Here is an 18,579-nt window from a genome sequence, read left to right on the forward strand (position 1 = left end):
CTGAATTACTATGAATGAGATACAGCAGGTTCCCAACTCCCTCCACAGGCTCCGCTCTGTGTCACACACTTGCCTCTCAGCTGGGAGTTTGCATCCCTATAAATATACAAATAGTCGCACTACAGACCTTTCGGGCTGCTGTATAAAGTTTTCTGTGAATGACATCCGTGCCTCTCCTAGCAGTCATATATTTTTCCTAGTAAAAATGTTCTGAATGCATACAATGGAATTAAATAAATCACTACAGCATATGAACAAGTTCCCAACCCACTCTAAAAAGATACCTCACTGATGAGCCATGCTTGGCAATGGATAATTACATCCAAGAAGACACAGGACACAGTGGAAAAAACAGAGGACCAGACTCAGGGACTCACGTTCCAAACCCAGCACCAGAACTCACTGCCAAGTGATCAGGGTGATTCGGCTGGCCTCTTAGGACCTGATTTTATTTCTTTCCAATATTTCCTATGGCTTTATAGATGTTTTTGAATATTTTGAGCACTCTTCAAATAATATGGTGCTAGTGAATTTGAGGCAACATCTTGAGACCAATCATTCTGAGCATAAAAATCTATGAAAATGAATAGAATATTTAAAAACTAGATGTGACGGGCCCTTTAACAAGCCAACTTTTGCTTGTTATACCTTTTCAAACTAGAAATGAAGCCACGGAAGCATCTTACAGGTAGACGCTTGTACTGTGTTGGCTGGAGAAACTCACACCATAGCAGAGACTGACAGCGTCTGGCCTGCGTGCACTGCTGAATGCCTGCGGGATGGGTATGGCCTCTTCCTCACCACGTCTAAATGCAAGCTTCTAGAAACTGAAGACAAGGCAGCTGGGGAGGGAGCAGACTGTCATTAACTTTAGAACTCCTAACTTGGGCTTCAACAACACAGATGGTTCTGAATGACAGACCACCATATGAAATCCATCTTCTCTCTGCCTGGAGGAATCTCATAGTCCAGTGGCATGGTCTGCCAGGGAGAGAAAAGGTTTCCTGTGTTGTGAATTCTGCATGGAAAAAGCTACACAAAAGCAACTAACTCTTAGCCGCAGTCTCAAATGGAACCATATGAAGGAGGCACGTACCAGGTCGATCAGGTCGCTGAGGTTTTTCTCGATTTGCTGGGGAGGCAGGCGCCTCATTAGGTCCAAGGCACAGTCCAGCTGCTGATCACTCTGTGGAGGGAGAAATACAAGTGCGTCAGTCATTTTTGCCAGAAGGAATATCAAAAACTCCTTTTAAAAAGCATGCTTGCCCAAGGCATTCTAAAACCCAAAGAGCCACGCAGTGGGCCCTCCGCCAGGTCTCTGTGTGCCAGCAGCCTGGAGCGGGGGGCGACTGTGCAGGCTGTTTGCTCCCCTTTGACAGCAGTCTCTGTCTCAAGTGGGGGCATCCAAAAGACCCTGAAAGAAGTGGAAGCAGGCTGGAGACGTCAGAAAGCTCCCTCACCGGCTCCCCTGCTCCTGCTCAACAGGCCCTGGTGGCTGCAGATGTCGTGCCCCCCAGTTGGTTCCATGGTGAACACACTCCAGTAGCGGATTACTTTTGCCCTTTGTTGTAACCTGGGTGTAAACATCAGGTAACATCCCCAGGCCAGGTTCCTTGAGAAGCTCCAAGGGAGGGAGAAAAGCCAGGCAAAGAACAAGTGGCAAGATGCACACGGGGTTAAAAGTGCTTCATTCATTCAATAGAAACTTAGGACACTAAGACCTGAACCACACTACAGTCAAGAGCTCACTCCACCCAGCAAACTGGACTGCAAATGCAGTAAACTATGTCACTGCAGAGGCAAGGACTGGAAAGACAACCATTACTCTTGTTTATCAAGCACTCTTTTAAAAAATGTTTTTCATTTTTTAAAGATAGGGTCTTGCTGTGTCACCCAGGCTGGAGTGTAGTGGCATGATCTTGGCTCCCTACAACCCCCACTTTCCAGGCTCAAGTGATCCTCCCACCTCAGCCTCCAAAGTAGCTGGGACCACAGGTGCATGCCACCACACCTGGCTAATTTTGTAGTTTTTTTTGGGGGGGAGGGGGGGAACATGGGGTTTTGCCATATTGCCCAGGGTGGTCTTGAACTCCTGGGCTCAAGCAGTCGAACTGCCTTGGCCTCCCAAAGTGCCGGGATTACAAGCATGAGCCATCGTGCCCAGCCCAAGCACCTTTTTAAAGCTATGCATCCTGTGCTTCACCATACTCTCCTCACAGTACATATGCTGCAAATATTTACTCAGAGCCACCATGTGCCAGTCACCATAAACATATAAAAAATAAATAAATAAAGGGAGGGGGAGAGGAAGGGAACAGAGCGGAGGCAAGGCTGGTAAAATGCAAAGTAAATTCAATGCACAGTGGGTTCTAACACAGAAGGCTAGACCTCAGGAGATGAGACAAGAAATAAAGTGAGAAAGGTGGGCCAGGTACAAGGGTGAAGACCTGTGTATGCAACTCTTAGAAGTACAGGTGACTCCAAGTAAGGCAGATGGAGTCCCCAACACTACCCAAGCAGCCACTATCTGATTTGTATCTGGAATCTGCTCTGCTCAGACCAATTTCAGGATTTTTGGAAGGCCTAAATCAACAAGCTACAGTCTCATAAAATACACAAAGTAATCCTCAAAATGCCACATTTGGCCTTAACGAAATATAACTTTTGAATATTACCGTTTACACTCCAGGTCTGTTAACCACAAGTAGGCCGTGGGGCAAGGACCCACTTCATAGTCACCAGAGACATAACACATTATTAAGGAGAGTCAATTTCATTTTTTTAAAAAAAGATATTGACATGGCATATACAGCCAGCTGTTTTAAAAAAGAATGAAAGAAAAGAAAAAGCCTGTCCCTTGCTCAAGATGGCTATCAGTGACAGTTCATCCTGGAACACACAACGAACTGGCTCCCCTGCAAAGAGAAAAGAAAAACACCACACCAGAAATTCTACCACTTGTTTTGCTGAATGCCAGCAACCATGAATTCCCTACTTGTGCCACGCATTTCTATGCCAACATGTGTCAGCCAAGGCCACAGTGATGGGTTTGGCCCACTGGCATGAGAGGAAATTTTAACACCACGTCTTGGGCAGAACACACAGATAAGCTGATTCGACTCTAGAGAGACATATTCAATTCCCAATACTGCCATTCATTAACTTATGGCCTTGGGTGGGTTTCTTAATCTCTAGAAGTCTCTATTTATTTATCCATAAAATGGGAACACAGTATCTTCCTTAGAGAGTGACAATAATTTAGTAATGCATGTGGAACATTTAATACACAGTAGTATGTGTTTAATGATTGGGGATATTGAGTGCATACAAATAAACATACAGCTTTTAAATCTTTTTAAAAATTTTAAATGATTCCCCTGCCCAACCTCCCCGCCCCTCAACCCAGCCCTGGATCTCTCTCTCTCTCTCTTGCTCCCCTTAAACTAGAGCTAATGTTCAAACTCAATACAAAGCTACGTATTCTCTTGGCCAAGCAAGAATAGAAAACCCTAAATGATTCAAGTCAAACTCGTTAAAAGGTATAAACTAGTATTTCTCAACTAGGGATGATTTTGCACACGTGCACACACATACACACACACCTCCAACAACCCTGCCAGGAGACATCTGGCAATGTATGGAGACATTTTTGTCACAACTGGGAGAGAAGAAACTACTGACATCTAATGGGTAGGGGCCAGGGATGCTTCTAAACATCCCAAAACGCGATACACAGCCTCCCCACAACAAAGAATCACCCGGCCCAAACGTTAATAGAGTTAAGGCTGAGAAGCCCTGGGCGAAAAATAATTGGTTTGGGGGCTGCAGATTCCCAGAATCTGATTGACAATAAAGTCCCCCTCAGGAAGACTGCACATGCAGGCAAACGTTTTATATATAATTCTAATTTAAAGACCACACATACACTTTGGGAGGCCAAGGCGGGCGGATCATGAGGTCAGGAGATTGAGACCATCCTGGCTAACGTGGTGAATCCCCGTCTCTACTAAAAATACAAAAAAATTAGCCGGGCGTGGTGGCGGGCGCCTGTAGTTCCAGCAACTCGGGAGGCTGAGGCAGGAGAATGGCATGAACCCGGGAGGCAGAGCTTGCAGTGAGCCCAGATCACTCCAGCCTGGGCGACAGAGCGAGACTCCATCTCAAAAACAACAACAACAACAACAACAACAACAACAAACCCACACATAACCCCTAAAAATTTCTGGTCTTCAGAAAGTATCTCAACTAGATATTAGCAATCCTCCTTATAAATGAAAAGCAAATTAAGATATAAGTAAGCCTGTCTAATTTGAAACGGTGATCCAGACAGAACACAGAAGGGATTAACTAGAAAACTGAGCAGTGTTATCTAGGAAAAGACCTAAGTTGACCAGAGAAGCTCAAGGTGAAAGACACTGTTTTAACCCTTCTTCGGTGCCTGTTCACAAGCCCAGTTCCAATATGCTGATCACATCCCCACCCCGCAAGGGGCCGGACAGTCCTCTGTAGACCTGTATCTAGTTGACAGCACTAGAATACTACTACAAAAGGATCTGACTCATATTTTGCATTAATCCCAATTAATCTTAATTGGAAATGTTTCACTACAAATTTCTAAGGTTAAGGATGTTTAACTATCATTCAATGAGGAAATGACTAAATGCTTCCCATAAGTGAAGCAACATGGGAAAGCTTAATGACAGCTTTTAAGACGTTAAAATTAGAGTTAACTGGAGCCATTTGCTTGGGAGTCATCCCAAACCCTAAGGGGTCCAAACAGGAAACGGTACCGGAGAATGAAGCAGATGTGGATGACCTTCAGCTACAAGCAACAACGTAAGTGACCCAGGAAATGGAACGATGGGGACAGAGGGAGGGGGCTAGTCCCAGGGGCCTCCCTAGGATGCTGTCACTTTTATATAAAGCTCAATAACAAGCAATAGTGAACATTCTTTTTTTTTTTTTTTTTTTTTTTTTAAAGATAGGCTCTCACTCTGTCGCCCAGGCTGGACTGTAGTGGCACAAGCTCAGCTCACTGCAACCTCTGTCTCCTGGGCTCAAGCTATCCTCCCATCTCAGCCTCCTAAGTAGCTTGGATTACAGGCACACACCACCATGCCTGGTTAATTTTTGTTTTTCTTGAGACAGGGTCTCACTTTGTTACCCAGGCTGGAGTATAGTAGCACAATGTCGGCTCACTGTAGCCTCCACCTCCCAGGCTCAAGCCATCCTCCCACCTCAGCCCTCCAAGTAGCTGGGGGGCCACCATGCCTGGCTAATTTTTTGTAGTTTGGTAGAGATGGGGTTTCACCATGCTGCCCAGGATGGTCTCAAACGCTTGACCTCAAGCGATCCGCCCACCTCGGCCTCCCAAAGTGCTGGGATTACAGGCATGAGCCACCATGCCCAGCCAATTTTTCTATTTTTTGTAGAGATGGGGTTTTGCTATGTTGCCCAGGCTGGTCTCAAAGTCCTGAGCTCAAGCGATCCATCTGCCTCAGCCTCCCAAAGTGCTGGGTTTGCAGGCGTGAGCCACTGCACCTGGCCATGAACACTCTTATTATTTAGACACGTGTTTTAGACTAATATAACAAGGCTTTTTTTTTTCTTTAAGCCAAGACAAAGGTATGATAAATACAACATTTAAGAAGAGTAGAAGAGCAGTTCTAGGGAAGCCATGAGGGGAAGATGAAAGCTATACTGTCTAGGTCTCACATGGAATGGCAGGTTCAAGGGTATTCATCATCAACGTGATGCTTAAGTTATGATTATCAGATATCTAAACTTTTTTTAAAGGTAATAGAAAAAACTACAAGTATGCAGGGAGTGGTGGTGCGTGCCTGTAGTTCCGGCTACTCGGGAAGCTGAGGCAGGAGGATCGTTCAAGCCCAGGAGTTCTGGGTTGTAGTGTGCTATGCCCATCAGGTGTCCGCACTAAGTTTGGCATCAATATGGTGACTTCCTGGGAGCAGGGAACCACCAGGTTGCCTAAGGAGGGGTGAACCGGCCCAGGACAGAAACGGAGCAGGTCAAAAAATACAAGGAAGAGCAAGTAAAGAGAGGGCTTAGGACTCAGGAGTCCAGGGTCCAAGGTATGCCCTGTCACTAGACGTCTGTGTGCTTTGGACTGCTCACTTAACCTCGTGGCCTGGGATTTGGCCCAGATGAACTCTAAGACTCCTTCTAGATGGAGTGCCCTCTATCCTACTGCGAGAGCAGACATGCCTAACCGCCACACCCTTCAAAACAAGACCATCATCCTGGATTTGGCCGCTTGCAGGCCAGCAACTGGGCTACAGTTCAACAACTGTGCACTGAGTGCCAACCCTGGGCCAGGCCCTGAATCCGGCCCAACAAATGAGACCCAGTCCCAAGCCTCAAGGAACCAATTGTCCATAAAACAGCAAATAACCACAAGGTCGTGTGGTGTGTACAATGATGAGACAGAGAAGGTACAAAGAGACAAGGCACAGTTCACAATACACTGATTTGTACTTCTTTGTGTCAATTATTTTCCTAGGACTTCCCTCCCTCACATGGCTACAAAATAAACAGAAGGCCAGTCAGGGGAAGTAAACTGTCACCTGGTGGCTAAGAGCTCTCCACAGGCCAGCTCCTTCAAAACTCTGACTGGTCCAGGCACCTCCTTCATACAATGAGCTTCACCAGTTCCACCACCCAATGGTGTGTTCCAGGTGGAAAGGTAAATAGTAAAAGAAGGACCATTTCTCCTTATCCTCTGGAATTCTCTGTCCATTCAATTAATCATCTGATCATTATGTGAGTGTTTCCTAGGTAACAAGCACTGTTTCTGATGCTGAGTGGTGAACATAAAAGTCTCTGCTCCTCATGGAGCTTATGGTGCAGTCAAAATCAGTGTGGAAAAAAAAAATCAAGGAAGAGTCCTTGTTAGGATGTCAAATAATAAGGAGGGGAGTTACCCCATTTTAAGCTGGCAAGGCTCCAAGGGGTAGGTTTAGGGGGTTTTTTGTGTTATTTTCTTATTTTGGTATATAAACTGAGATAAGAAATATTTCACCTCCTGTTTTCACATGATTTAAAGAAAAAGCATAAAATTGCTTAAATCACCCTGCAATAAATAAAACCACCATTAATACGGACTAAAACAATTTTTCAGAATAAGAAATCAGTCAAATAAAACCCCACCATCTAAATATCTGCTACAGTGTTCAGACATCCGACGGTATTATGAAATCATCTGCATACAGGAAAACTTGGCCTACTAGGCAAACTCCAGGGCAAAGTCTGATTTGGAAACCATCAAGTGAGATGTAACCAGTACCTACACTCCAAGTTTGGTAGAGTAAACACACCATCTACAACAATGTCAATGTCAGAGTACAGGTGCCCACTAAGTAGGGCAGGGAGCCCCAGAAGATGTCTCAGAATGGGGCCACAGGAGCAGGTTAGCCCTGGATAAGCAGGTGTGCCTTTCCAGGCAGCAGGTGCAGCAGGCTAAGGAGAGGTGAGCCAGGTGCGTGGAGGAGGAGGTGGGGAACCATGGGGCATGGCCTGGGGAGGTGACTGGGGCCTTGTCACAAGAGCCAGATCACACCCAAACTACTCAGGGGGCAGCTATGCTGGCCCGAGGAGCTAGGCTCAGAATCTCACTTCTCCCCGCAGTTTTTTGCTCCTGTCCAGTTTATAGGTAAGGCATCTGTGCCACATTCTTTAAAATCCACTTTTCTGTGAAGGTTTTGGAGCCCCTAGAGATTTTTCCACAGGGGAATGACGACTGCTGTTGTGACTTAGAAGGCGAAGCAGATTATATTTTCCAAAAATGACCATAACAAGCAGTCCCATCCCACATGCTCCTCTTGCAGCGTGACTGTGACACTCCTCCCACTTGTGGTGGGGCGGGGGGGGGCTGTGTCCCCTCCGCCTTGGAACCGGAGGAGCTTTTGTAACTTTTTATCATCAGAGCCCAGCACAAATGATGCCCTATGACTTGTGAGCCCACAAGAGACAACGCGGCTTCTCCCTGCCTGCTAAACACACAGGCCTGGAGCCCACTCAACTGCCCCGAGGCCACCCTGTGCAGAAGACTTCCTGAGACTCCATGGACAGAGGGAGGCCCACTGAGCCCCCAGGTGCTCCAGGCTCCCACTGTTCCAGCTTCAGCTATCTGACTGCAATAGTATGAGACCCCAAGCCAGAACCACCCAGCCAAGGCCCTCCTGAACTCCTGACCCACAGAAACCATCAGAGACAATGAAATGAATTGTTCCTTTAAGTCACTAGGTTTCGGGATGGTTTTGTTAGACAGCAACAGTAAATGACACAGAAGGATTTGTCTGGTGACCTTGGGGAGACAGCCTGACCAGAGACGAAACTGGGGACAGAAGAGCTAGCAGAGGAGCCTCTACAGCAACCAGGTCTCTGGCTGGATGGCCAGAGAGGAGGAGAGCCAAAGACTTTAAGGTCACAACAGATAGGACGAGGTCAGTTACTGGAAATGGGAAGAAGCCCAAGGAGCCTGAGATGACTACGTTTCCTAGCTGGGGCCAACTGCTAGAGGATGGTGCCACAGCCTCACCGGAGTGTGTACGTTTTGTGTGTGCTTTTAAAACCCACTGTTTTTAATTTCAAAGACAGGCACAGGCAGTAACTCAAATTGCTAATGCTTGCAAGCAGAGGTCCTGCTTGGCCTGCTGTAGTGGCTGGTTAAGGCAGATTTGTGCTTAACAGCATCTGTCTGTACATAAACAACCAACCAAAGCTTCAAGGCCTTCAGAGTTTGTTCTTAAGTTCATCAAGACCTTCACTCGTTTACATTCCCGAGAGGCTTAGCAAATAACTTCATAGACAGCACAAAGGTAAACTCTGCTGGCGCCCAGAATGACTTACCACAAATTTATGGAGTCTCACTTAACCATGGTTTGTCTTGTATAATCCGTGACCCAATAAGCAACTTTGTTTAAACGTCGAATCTGTTTTCTGCCATGTGGCCCGGGAACAGTTTGTGCTGGGGGCGATTTGGAGAAGGAATCCTGGGCCGGCCCAGCCGACCACTCATCTTTAGGTCACTCTGGAAAACTGCACATTTTGGATTAATAAAAAGAAAAGTGCTTCCTCCACTGCCTGAGTGTCCTCTGGGATGTGACAATAGCTGTGCAGGAGGGAGATGCCTCAACCACAAACACACGAATACTCCTTGGATGACTTTCTGTTCCCATGGGAAAATCCAATACCCTCGCTGTCAAGGGAATCACAGCCACGACAGAAGTCCACTTGGCGGACCAAGCCTTCTTCAACCTTTTGGGGTCTGCTGTCTACCATCATAGCCAAGTCAATGTCATCTTTTTAAATTGAGGTTTTTTTGTTTGTTTTGTTTTTTAAAAACCATGCAACATAAAAGTAACCATTCTAGTCCTACTCTGACCATAGAGACAAACACAAAACCCTGGGAGATGGCAGGGCAACATGAAGGAAGAGGCTGGCTCTGTGGATGACCCACCAGCCAGAATGGGTGACCTGTTGTTATATGAGAAATAAACTCCTATCTCATCTGAGGAATAAAATGTAACCATTTTAGGGCTGGACATAGTGGCTCACGCCTGTAATCCCAGCACTTTGGGAGGTGGAGGCGGGTGGATCACTTGAGGTCAGGAGTTCAAGACCAGCATGGCCAACATGGTGAAACCCCACCTCTACTAAAAATACAAAAATTAGCAGGGCGTGGTGGCAGATGCCTGTAATCCCAGCTACACGGGAGGCTGAGGCAGGAGAATCACTTGAAACTGGAAGGCGAAGGTTGCAGTGAGCTGAGATCATGCCACTGCACTCCAGCCTGGGTGACAGAGTGAGACTGTCCCACACCCTCCCCCCACCTGCCAAAAAAAAAAAGAAAAAGAAAAATAAGCCATTTTAAAGTGAACAATTCAGTGGCTATGTTAAGGTCATTTGGATTACCGTGAAAACATAACTGCTTTATGTGTCTCTCTCTTTTTTCTTTTATAAACAAGTCTCTCCTTTAAAAAAATTCTGTTGGGATCACAGAAATTAGATCTGGACTGACATCTCAATTTCATCTGAGTCCTGCTCCTTCATTTGACGATGCATAATGAGGTCCAGCGCAAGTTTTGCCAGGTTGCACAGATAGAGGCAAAATCCGCACCTAAACCTGGATCTTCTTCGTGTTTTGAGGCCTGGCTCTGCCCCGAGCCCTTCTCCCCCGTGAGTCTTTCATCCAGGGACTGTGTAAGTGACTGGCAGACACAACCGAACAGTGAGATGAGATTCTCACCCTCAAGGAGCTGTGACCTAAGGTAGAGGACAGCCAGAAAAAAAAAGCAGGAAAGAACTACACCATCCTCCTACATTCAACGCCCAGCATCCCAGCTACCCCATTATTTTCGAGGACTGGTCCTCCCAGTGATTTGTCCAGGTCATCAAGGTATCAACTTTTTAAAAAAATTCTAGAAGACAGCAATCTCTCTAAAATGTATTACCTGCTCTACATTTTTACACAATGCAAATGATCACAGGACAATGCAATGAACACAGCTAAACCATTTCTCATTAGCCTAAGGACAGTGTATGAGTAGCCACTCTTGGAACAGCACCCTGTGTCTGCTTTTTACATTTATCTGCTTCTTCTGCCAGGCTGTCAGCTACACTTCCTCAACTAATATGTTGCTTCTAATCTGCTATGAGGTTGAGAACCCAGAAAATTAGAAATCTGCTCTCATTTCAAACAAAAAAAAAAAAGAAACTCTGAGAGAAGGAATAAATCAGGTTGATAACTTGGGGTCCAGAGTCACAGCCCACAAATAGTTTGTAAGTACCTTGACACTATATGAAGATTACTTCTTCCTTTTCTTGAAGAAGTTCAAGACTCTAAAGGCAGAGATACGATATACTAATAATTCCTACTTTCCCATACAACCTGCATAAGCAAGTCACCACCTCATCCCTTGGAACCTCAGTCTTCTTTAAAACCTGGGTCCGACGGTACTGTCTACCTCACGGGCCACTGGGAATGAGGTACCACGTCTGGGCCATAAGGGCACCGCCCACAGAGCATCCTCCATAAAGGGTAGGAACTCTCCCAGAGAGTAAAGCACATGGCTTATCTGCCAGGACTTTTACATAACATTTTTTAGGTGCTAGAGGGTCCTTTCTGCCTGGATTTTTCCCTCACTTGACACAGGTTTTCCATTCAGGCTGCCAGGAGTCTCTAGAAAGGTAGGCGGAGTGTTATGTCAGTTTCCAAGTCATTAAGCACCCACAAAGGAGGGCAGGCTTGCACAGCACTCACTCCACACAACCGCCCCTGCCCTGAGTACGACGGAGCACATGGCTTCCCTAAAGCCACAAGGAGAAGAGAGGCAGGGACAGTGAGAGCTGAAGGAATTCCACATGTGTCCATGGAAGATCACCTTCCCTTTGTTTTCCTGCACTCTAGTAACTCCCTCATGCAGCTTGCTTTCTGAAGCCCTCTGCTCCATTTCCCCAGCCCAGGACAGCATCAAGAAATATTTCCACCATCTCATCTATTTGAACCTTCTCCCTATTTACTGGTGCTCCCAACCCCATCTGAGGCCATCGAAACCAGACAACTGTGGCAGCACTAGCAGAGTCCCCAAACTACCCTGACACCCTCCCTGGCAAGGAAAATTTCCACGCGCCTCTCCCTGGCATATTTATTCCAGAGGAAAACTTAGCAACCTACACACTACACACAGGCTCTGTGTCAAACTCTACAACAGCCATCAGTTGATCTTTCCCTTACACATCCCTCCAGGAAGTGAAATATCCGAAATGAGTCATACTCAGGAGTCGGAGCTATACTTCCACTGTAGTTTTTTTGGATAACCAATTCACTGTTTACACTCCAAAACCTCTAATTGCTGAACACAGAACAGTTCCTTTGCAGAGATCAAAGCTTACCTGGTGAACCTGGCGAAATGACAAAAATTCTCCAAAAGGAGTTAGCCATCCAGAGTGCCAGAGGAGGGTGGCTGTACAAGCACATTTTAATTGGCAAAGCAGAGTCGCTGCCCAGCAAGGAAGAGTATGCAGGGGTTTATTCTGCTGCTCTTCTATTTCCCCTTTAAGGCATATATCTCTTACCCCTGCACCCACCAACTTTAGTCACTCCTAGCACACAGCTGGCGGCCGCCCACCCGCACCCGCACCTGCACCCGCACCTCAGAGAGCTTGCTGATCCCTGAGCCGTGCACTGAAGCTTCCAAGCAGCTCTACCTAAAGGCAAGCACTGCCTGCTTTTTACAACATATACAATGGGCTAACCTGATGCACAGAAAAACCCTGGGTCACATGACAACCAACAAACTCATTGCTCAGGATGGCTCTCCGCCACGTTTCTCAGGCACTGTGCTTGGCTCTGCTGGCCAACTGAGTGAGCTGGAGCATTTTCTCTTGGGTGTGCATACCCCTCCACCTGTCCAACTTTAAAACACAGAATCAACAGGGATGTTACACTAAAGGGGACCCTAGAAACCATATAAACGGTGGAAAATTGAGGCCTGGACTGACCCATAACAAATGAGACATCACATAATGGCAAATGAACCATGACCAGAAAACAAATCTCTTTAGTACACAGTTTAGCGCTTCTGCTTATACAGGTTGAACAGCCCTAACCCAAAAATCCAAATCCCAAACTTTTTGAGCGAAGACATGAGGCTCCAACGAGCATATCAGACTTTCGGATTAGGAATGGTCAACCAGTAAGTTCTGCAAATATTCAAAATCTGAAAAGAATCCAAAGAAGTCTCAAATCCAAAATGCTTCTGGTCCCAAGCATTTCGGATAAGAAACCTGTAGTTTAATCATCAGTCAAAATTTAAGAATAGAGTTGATTTTGGGCCGGGCACGGTGGCTCATGCCTGTAATCCCAGCACTTTGGGAGGCCAAGGTGGGTGGAGATCAGGAGATCAAGACCATCTGGCCGAGGTCAGCAGATCAAGACCATCCTGGCTAACACGGTGAAACCCCGTCTCTACTAAAAATACAAAAAATCAGCTGGGCGTGGTGGCGGGCGCCTGTAGTCCCAGCTACTTGGGAGGCTGAGGCAGGAGAATGGCGTGAACCCAGGAGGCGGAGCTTGCAGTGAGCCGAGATTGCACCACTGCACACCAGCCTGGGTGACAGAGTGAGACTCCGTCTCAAAAAATAAAAAATAAAAAATAAAAAATAAAAAAAAAGAATACAGTTGATTTTATCCAAGAAAATACTACTTCGGGCTGCAAGCAATGGCTTACACCTGTAATCCTAGCACTTTGGGAGGCAGAGGTAGGCAGATCACTTGACCCCAGTAGTTCAAGACCAGCCTGGGAAACACAGCGAGACCCCGTCTCTACAAAAAACTTTTTAAATTAGCCAGGTGTGGTGGTGCATGCCTGTAGTCCCAGCTACTCGGGAGGCTGGGGCGGAAAGATCACCTGAGGTTGAGGCTGCCCAGTCTGCATAACAGAATGAGATCCTGTCTCAAAAAAAAAAAAAAAAAAAAAAAGAAAAAAAAAGAAAATACGCTTTGACTCTTTTGAATAAAATTCTACATTATTAGCATTAACAATGGCAGTATTAAGAATATTTATATATTGTCCAGACTGGGCACACTGGCTCACATTTGTAATCCCAGCACTTTGGGAGGTCGAGGTAGGCAGATCATTGAGGCCAGGAGTTCAAGACTAGCCTGGAGAACATGGCAAAACCCCATCTCCATCCAAAATACAAAAATTAGCCAGGCGTGGTGGTGTATGCCTGTAGTCCTAGCTACCCAGGAGGCTGAGGTATGAGAATCACTTGAACCTAGGTGGCCGAGTTTGCAGTGAGCTGAGATAGCACCACCGCACTCCAGCCTGGGTGATAAGGTGAGACCCTCTCTCAAAAAAAATTTGAAAAAAAGAATACTTATATATTGTCCAGATAATTTTATTTTTATTTTTAAGTGAATTGATCTTTATTAAGAATACTAGGTATCCAAAAGGCAAACCAATTTCAAACGCAAAAGGGAAGGAAACTAACAACTGCTAAGGGTGGCCCGGCATGGGCCAGGCGCTGCACCCTGTGGGTTTCAGGAGAGCCTCACAACAGCTGCAGGAGGTGGCTCTTGGGTACCCCAGTTTCACAGATAAGTAAAATGAGGCCCTGAAGGGTTAGGTGACTTGCCCCAGAGCACTGAATGACACAGAAGGACATAACACAGGTCCCCTCCCATGCCCAAACATTCTCCAAAGAATGTTAAACACTCCCAATGAAATAAAATTAATTTCTAACGACTTGTAGGGAACAACTTGCAAGCTCACAAAATCAGATAGGGGCAATGAGTCTCTTCTCCCGGGATGAACAAATTATGGACAATGTCATCTACTACCAAATTCTGAAATCTGTCACCGTGGATTACAGACGGTATTCTCACAAACACTATCCCTGGCAGGTGGATTTGTCGAAAACAAGAAAGCCTCTCCCACACAGTTTCTCTGGTTGACGGTTTCCTGGACCCCTTGAGAAGATCTGCAAGGCGCCATCACCTTGTGTCTGATCATTAATGTTTCACAGATGTCTACAGCTGCTGCCTCCACATGATCCTGGCTGGTTTCATGTAACAAGCGACTAATCCCTGCACTTTGTCAACTGGCAGTTAGACACATAATTATGGGCAATCCTGAGACGTCTTCAAGGGATGCCGTACATGTTGTCCATTTCCCACTCAATGGCACGAGAAATTCAAGAAGCCTTTCACAAAAGTGGAAGCTGAGTAAAGCAGGGTGCTCCTGTCTTCCAAATAACAGTTAAAAGAAAAAACAATTCAGAAAAATGTCGACCACGTGTTCACTGACGAAGGCTAAGAAAAGTAAACTCCTTTTTTCATAGCAGAAGCAGCCAATTCACATAAACCAAACAGATTTATAAGATGGCCTAGATGAAATCTATAATATTTGGACACAGGTTTACTCCAACAAAACCCTGCACATGGCTTCCAAAGACATCGGGGAGAAGCTTCAGTCCAACCTGCAAACAGCACAAACGGGCATGTCTGGATGGGAAAGCAAAAAGGTTTAAAGGATCTGGAAAAAACGAAGGCTCCATCAATCCAAATATTTTATCTAGAAGGGGGTGGTGCTGCTTTTTTGACTTATGTCCAAAAGGAAGCTTGAGGAAAAGAACACAGTGCTTATTGATCCAACAAACCACTTGGGCTATTTCTTCCCTGGGCTCTTGGGCTCCAATTTCAGATGCCTGTGTGTGACTCAATATGGAAGACTCTATCAAATCTCTATTTGTCCCTGTCGGCCTTCCCCATCCAGCTCAAGGGTAACTCTATTACAGCACCACGCTCTACACTGACACCATGGGCCCAGCACTGCAGAGCACAACAGAATTCTGCAACAACTGGCCCTCTGGCTCCCCTAAATAGATCACCAAAGTTTTAAACATATTTTAGTGACAGAAATGTACAATGCAACACTCTACCCACCCATGATACCTTTGCAAACTTAACCCAAGACCTGTCATAACGTTGCCCTCTTCCAATTAATGTCAGGACCCACTGGGTAGGGAGATGCCTGAAACATGACATCCTTTGGGCTTCGATTTTCCAGACCAAAGACAGAGTCCTTGAAGGTCTGCAGCTGGCAGAAAGACCTTGGAAGTAAGACAGACAAGAGTTCAAAGCCCATACTCGCCATTTCCTAGCAATTAAGGTCTGAATAATTCCTTCACCTCTCTGAGCCTCGATTCCTTCATCTGTTTAGCGGCAATAATAATCAAACCTATCTTACAGGGTTATTTTGAGAACAATATCACAAAATATGTGTAAAGAAAGTAGCATAGTTCCTAAAACAACAAATATTCAATTAAATAAAAAAAAAACAAAAACAGGCATTGGCTGGGCATGGTGGCTCACATCTATAATCCTAGCACTTTGGGAAGCTGAGGCAAGAGGACAGCTTGAGGCCAGGAGTTTGAGACCAACCTGACCAACAGAGTAAGCCTTTTTTTTTTTTAAGGGTTAAAAAAATACAAAACAGGTATTATCACCATCTTCTTATACAGAACTTCATTTCAGAAAACATAAGATTATAATGTTTCTAGCCAACGCAGTGGCTCATGCCTGGAACCCCAGCACTTTGGGAGGCCGAAATGGGAGGATCACTTGAGCCTAGGAGTTCAAACCAGCTTGGGCAACACGGTAAAACCCCGTCTCTACAAAAAATACAAAAATTAACTGGGCATGCCTGTAGTCCCAGCTATTTGGGAGGCTGAGGTGGGAGGACAGATTGAGCCTGGGAGGTCGTGGCTGCAGTGAGCCACGATTGTGCCACTGCACTCCAGCCTGGGGGACAAAACACCCAAAAGGCAGGAGAGTGGGTAGCCACAGAACAAGGGGCCTGATAATCAAGTCAGTCAAAAAGTTTTTTTTTTCCTTTCTGTCTCAAAGGAAAAAAAAAAACACACTCATTATAATATGGAATTAAACATATACACGCACACTCTCACTTATGTAAGTTAACATTCCCTAAAGGCATGAGAGTGGGTAGCCCCGGAACATGGGGCCTGAAAATCAAATCAGTCAAGGCCGCTCCTTTTTGGTTCTTTTGGGTAAGCCAAAATGATCTTTACTAGTGGAAACATTATTCCTCCATCAACAGACAAGTTTCCTGAGAGCTGGTGAACATCTTGCCAACAAGACATATTTCGCAAGCTCAAAACCTTTCTTTCCATCCCCAATCAAACGCTGAGTGTTATGTCTCAAGAAGAAAGCTGGCTGAGGAAGGAGCTTAACATCCTTCCATGAGCAAAAAGAATTAAAGAAAGGGAAGCAACAAGTTCCAGTTCCAAAATAGCTTTTTGATAACTAGGAACTAAGCCCAGCCCTGGACAGTATTACTGACTCTCACCACCACCTAAAGCAGGCTCTGCCAAACACAGCACAACAACCAACTGCTACTAACAACTTTCACTAAGCAGGTAGTGCACGGCAGGCGCTGACTTAGGGCTTAAAACACAGCTATAATAGTAATAGCTAAAACTTATTAAGCCATTCTTCTAAGTGCTTTATATGCCAATATCTCATGTAATCTTAAAAATGAACCAAGGAGTTAAGTGCCAGTATCAGTCTCAGATGCAGAAACTGAGGTACGGAGAGAGTGGTGAGCTTACACATTTAAATGGATGGCAGAGCTGGGGTTCAAAGGCAGGTGCATCTGACCCCAGAACCTGTGTGCCTACTCAATACTCCACAGAGCCCAGCAGCTGGGCCACCTGTGCTAAGAACCACTGCCATCTCTTTGTTTTAAAGTCTCCAAAAGAAGAGGAGCGGGTTATTTAGCACCTACTTTTGCACAGTTGAGTCACAAGTGAGGAAGGCAGCACCGCTCTCTAGTTAAGGATACAGGTTGGAAAGCAAGATTGTCTGCATTCAAATCCTGACTCCACCGGGTCCCAGCTGTGTGACCTTGGACAAGTCACTAAACTCTTCTGAGCCTCGAGTTCCCCCATCTATAAATGAGGGTAGTAACACAGTAGTCACCCCTTATCTGCAGTTTTGTTTTTTGGCAGTTTCAGTTACCTGTGGTCAACCATGGTCTGAAAATACTAAGTGGAAAATTCCACAAACAATTTGGAAGTTTTAAATTTCACGCCGTTCTGCGTGATGAAATCTCATGCCTTCCCACTCCATCCTGCCTGGGACATGAATCATCTTTTTGTCCCGCGTATCCACACTGTACAAGCTATGTACCCGTTAGTCACTCAGGAGCCAGCTCGGTTCTCAGATCCACTGTCATGGTGTCACAGTGCTTGCGTTCAAGTTACCCTTATTTTGCTTCATAATGGCCCTAAAACACAAGAGTAGTGATGCCAGCAATTCAGATATGCCGAAGTGAAGACAAAAGGGCTTCTTTAAGTGCAATTTCTCAATTTAATAAAGGAAGGGAAAAACTATATGCGGAGACTAAGATCTATGGTAAGAATGAGTCTTCTATCTAAAATTTTGAAGGAAAAGAAATTTGTGCTAGTTTTGCTGTCACACCTCAATGCAAAGCATATAGGGTTCGATATTATCTGTGGTTTCAGGCATCCAATGGGGGTCTTGGAGTATATCCCCCATAGCTAAGGAGGGACAACTGCTATACATACATTATACTGTTATTTTAAGGATTATGTGGGGGTAATCCTCATTCAGCATCTGGCACATACCTGGGACATAGTCACTGCTCCATAAATTCTACATGTTAAGTCAACAGAAAAGAGGAAGAAACAAGAAAGTAAAAGCATATAATCTAACAATTTCACAACAAAGGCCTCGCTGGCCTTCTGCCAACCTCCAGAAAACAGTGCTGGACTCTGTGTACCCGCAGTGTGGCTGGGACTGCAGACACCAGGAAGACCTTGGGACCTGTGGAGCCTGGATGGTTCAGTTGTCTGAGCCAAGGAGGGCTGGATTAGGCTCAGTGATCGAAGCTGAGCAAGTTTCAGCACATACCTCTACAAAGTGGACGCCCAGGGATGGCTGATATGATGATTCTTTAGGAAGCCAAATGCTCAGTTTCTCAGAAAGGTGTTTTCCTGTTTCATGACAGATAA

The 18,579-nt window shown here is 45.6% G+C and overlaps 1 protein-coding gene and 1 pseudogene across 12 annotated transcripts in view, besides 3 other annotated features; one reads left to right on the forward strand and one right to left on the reverse strand.

Moving 5' to 3' along the window:
* Window positions 1–18,579, reverse strand: part of CAPZB (capping actin protein of muscle Z-line subunit beta) — a 146,765-nt gene that overhangs the window by 79,790 nt on the left and 48,396 nt on the right. For 11 of the 12 annotated variants that reach the window (NM_004930.5, NM_001206540.3, NM_001206541.3 and 8 more), the window contains one exon: window positions 1,097–1,186. In NM_004930.5, coding sequence (NP_004921.1) covers window positions 1,097–1,186 — 90 coding nt within the window. Of the gene's footprint in view, window positions 1–1,096; window positions 1,187–8,868; window positions 8,903–18,579 lie in introns of those variants that run through there. The other variant, XM_047431404.1, reaches the window with a different exon arrangement.
* Window positions 880–1,380: an enhancer, noted in NCBI's record as "H3K4me1 hESC enhancer chr1:19745938-19746438 (GRCh37/hg19 assembly coordinates)". NCBI's record gives its function as "activates a minimal SCP1, AML or CMV promoter by ChIP-STARR-seq in naive H9 embryonic stem cells {active_cell/tissue: H9 hESC(naive)}" and the evidence as "EXISTENCE:reporter gene assay evidence [ECO:0000049][PMID:30033119]".
* On the forward strand, window positions 5,820–6,035 carry RN7SL277P (RNA, 7SL, cytoplasmic 277, pseudogene; annotated as a pseudogene).
* Window positions 8,671–8,965: a silencer, noted in NCBI's record as "tiled region #10658; HepG2 Repressive DNase matched - State 5:Enh". NCBI's record gives its function as "represses a minimal TATA promoter and a strong SV40 promoter by Sharpr-MPRA in HepG2 cells {active_cell/tissue: HepG2}" and the evidence as "EXISTENCE:reporter gene assay evidence [ECO:0000049][PMID:27701403]".
* Window positions 11,813–12,701: an enhancer, noted in NCBI's record as "H3K27ac-H3K4me1 hESC enhancer chr1:19756871-19757759 (GRCh37/hg19 assembly coordinates)". NCBI's record gives its function as "activates a minimal SCP1, AML or CMV promoter by ChIP-STARR-seq in naive H9 embryonic stem cells {active_cell/tissue: H9 hESC(naive)}" and the evidence as "EXISTENCE:reporter gene assay evidence [ECO:0000049][PMID:30033119]".

The sequence above is a fragment of the Homo sapiens genome, chromosome 1, assembly GCF_000001405.40.
Source record: "Homo sapiens chromosome 1, GRCh38.p14 Primary Assembly".
NCBI classification, from domain to species: Eukaryota; Metazoa; Chordata; class Mammalia; order Primates; family Hominidae; genus Homo; species Homo sapiens.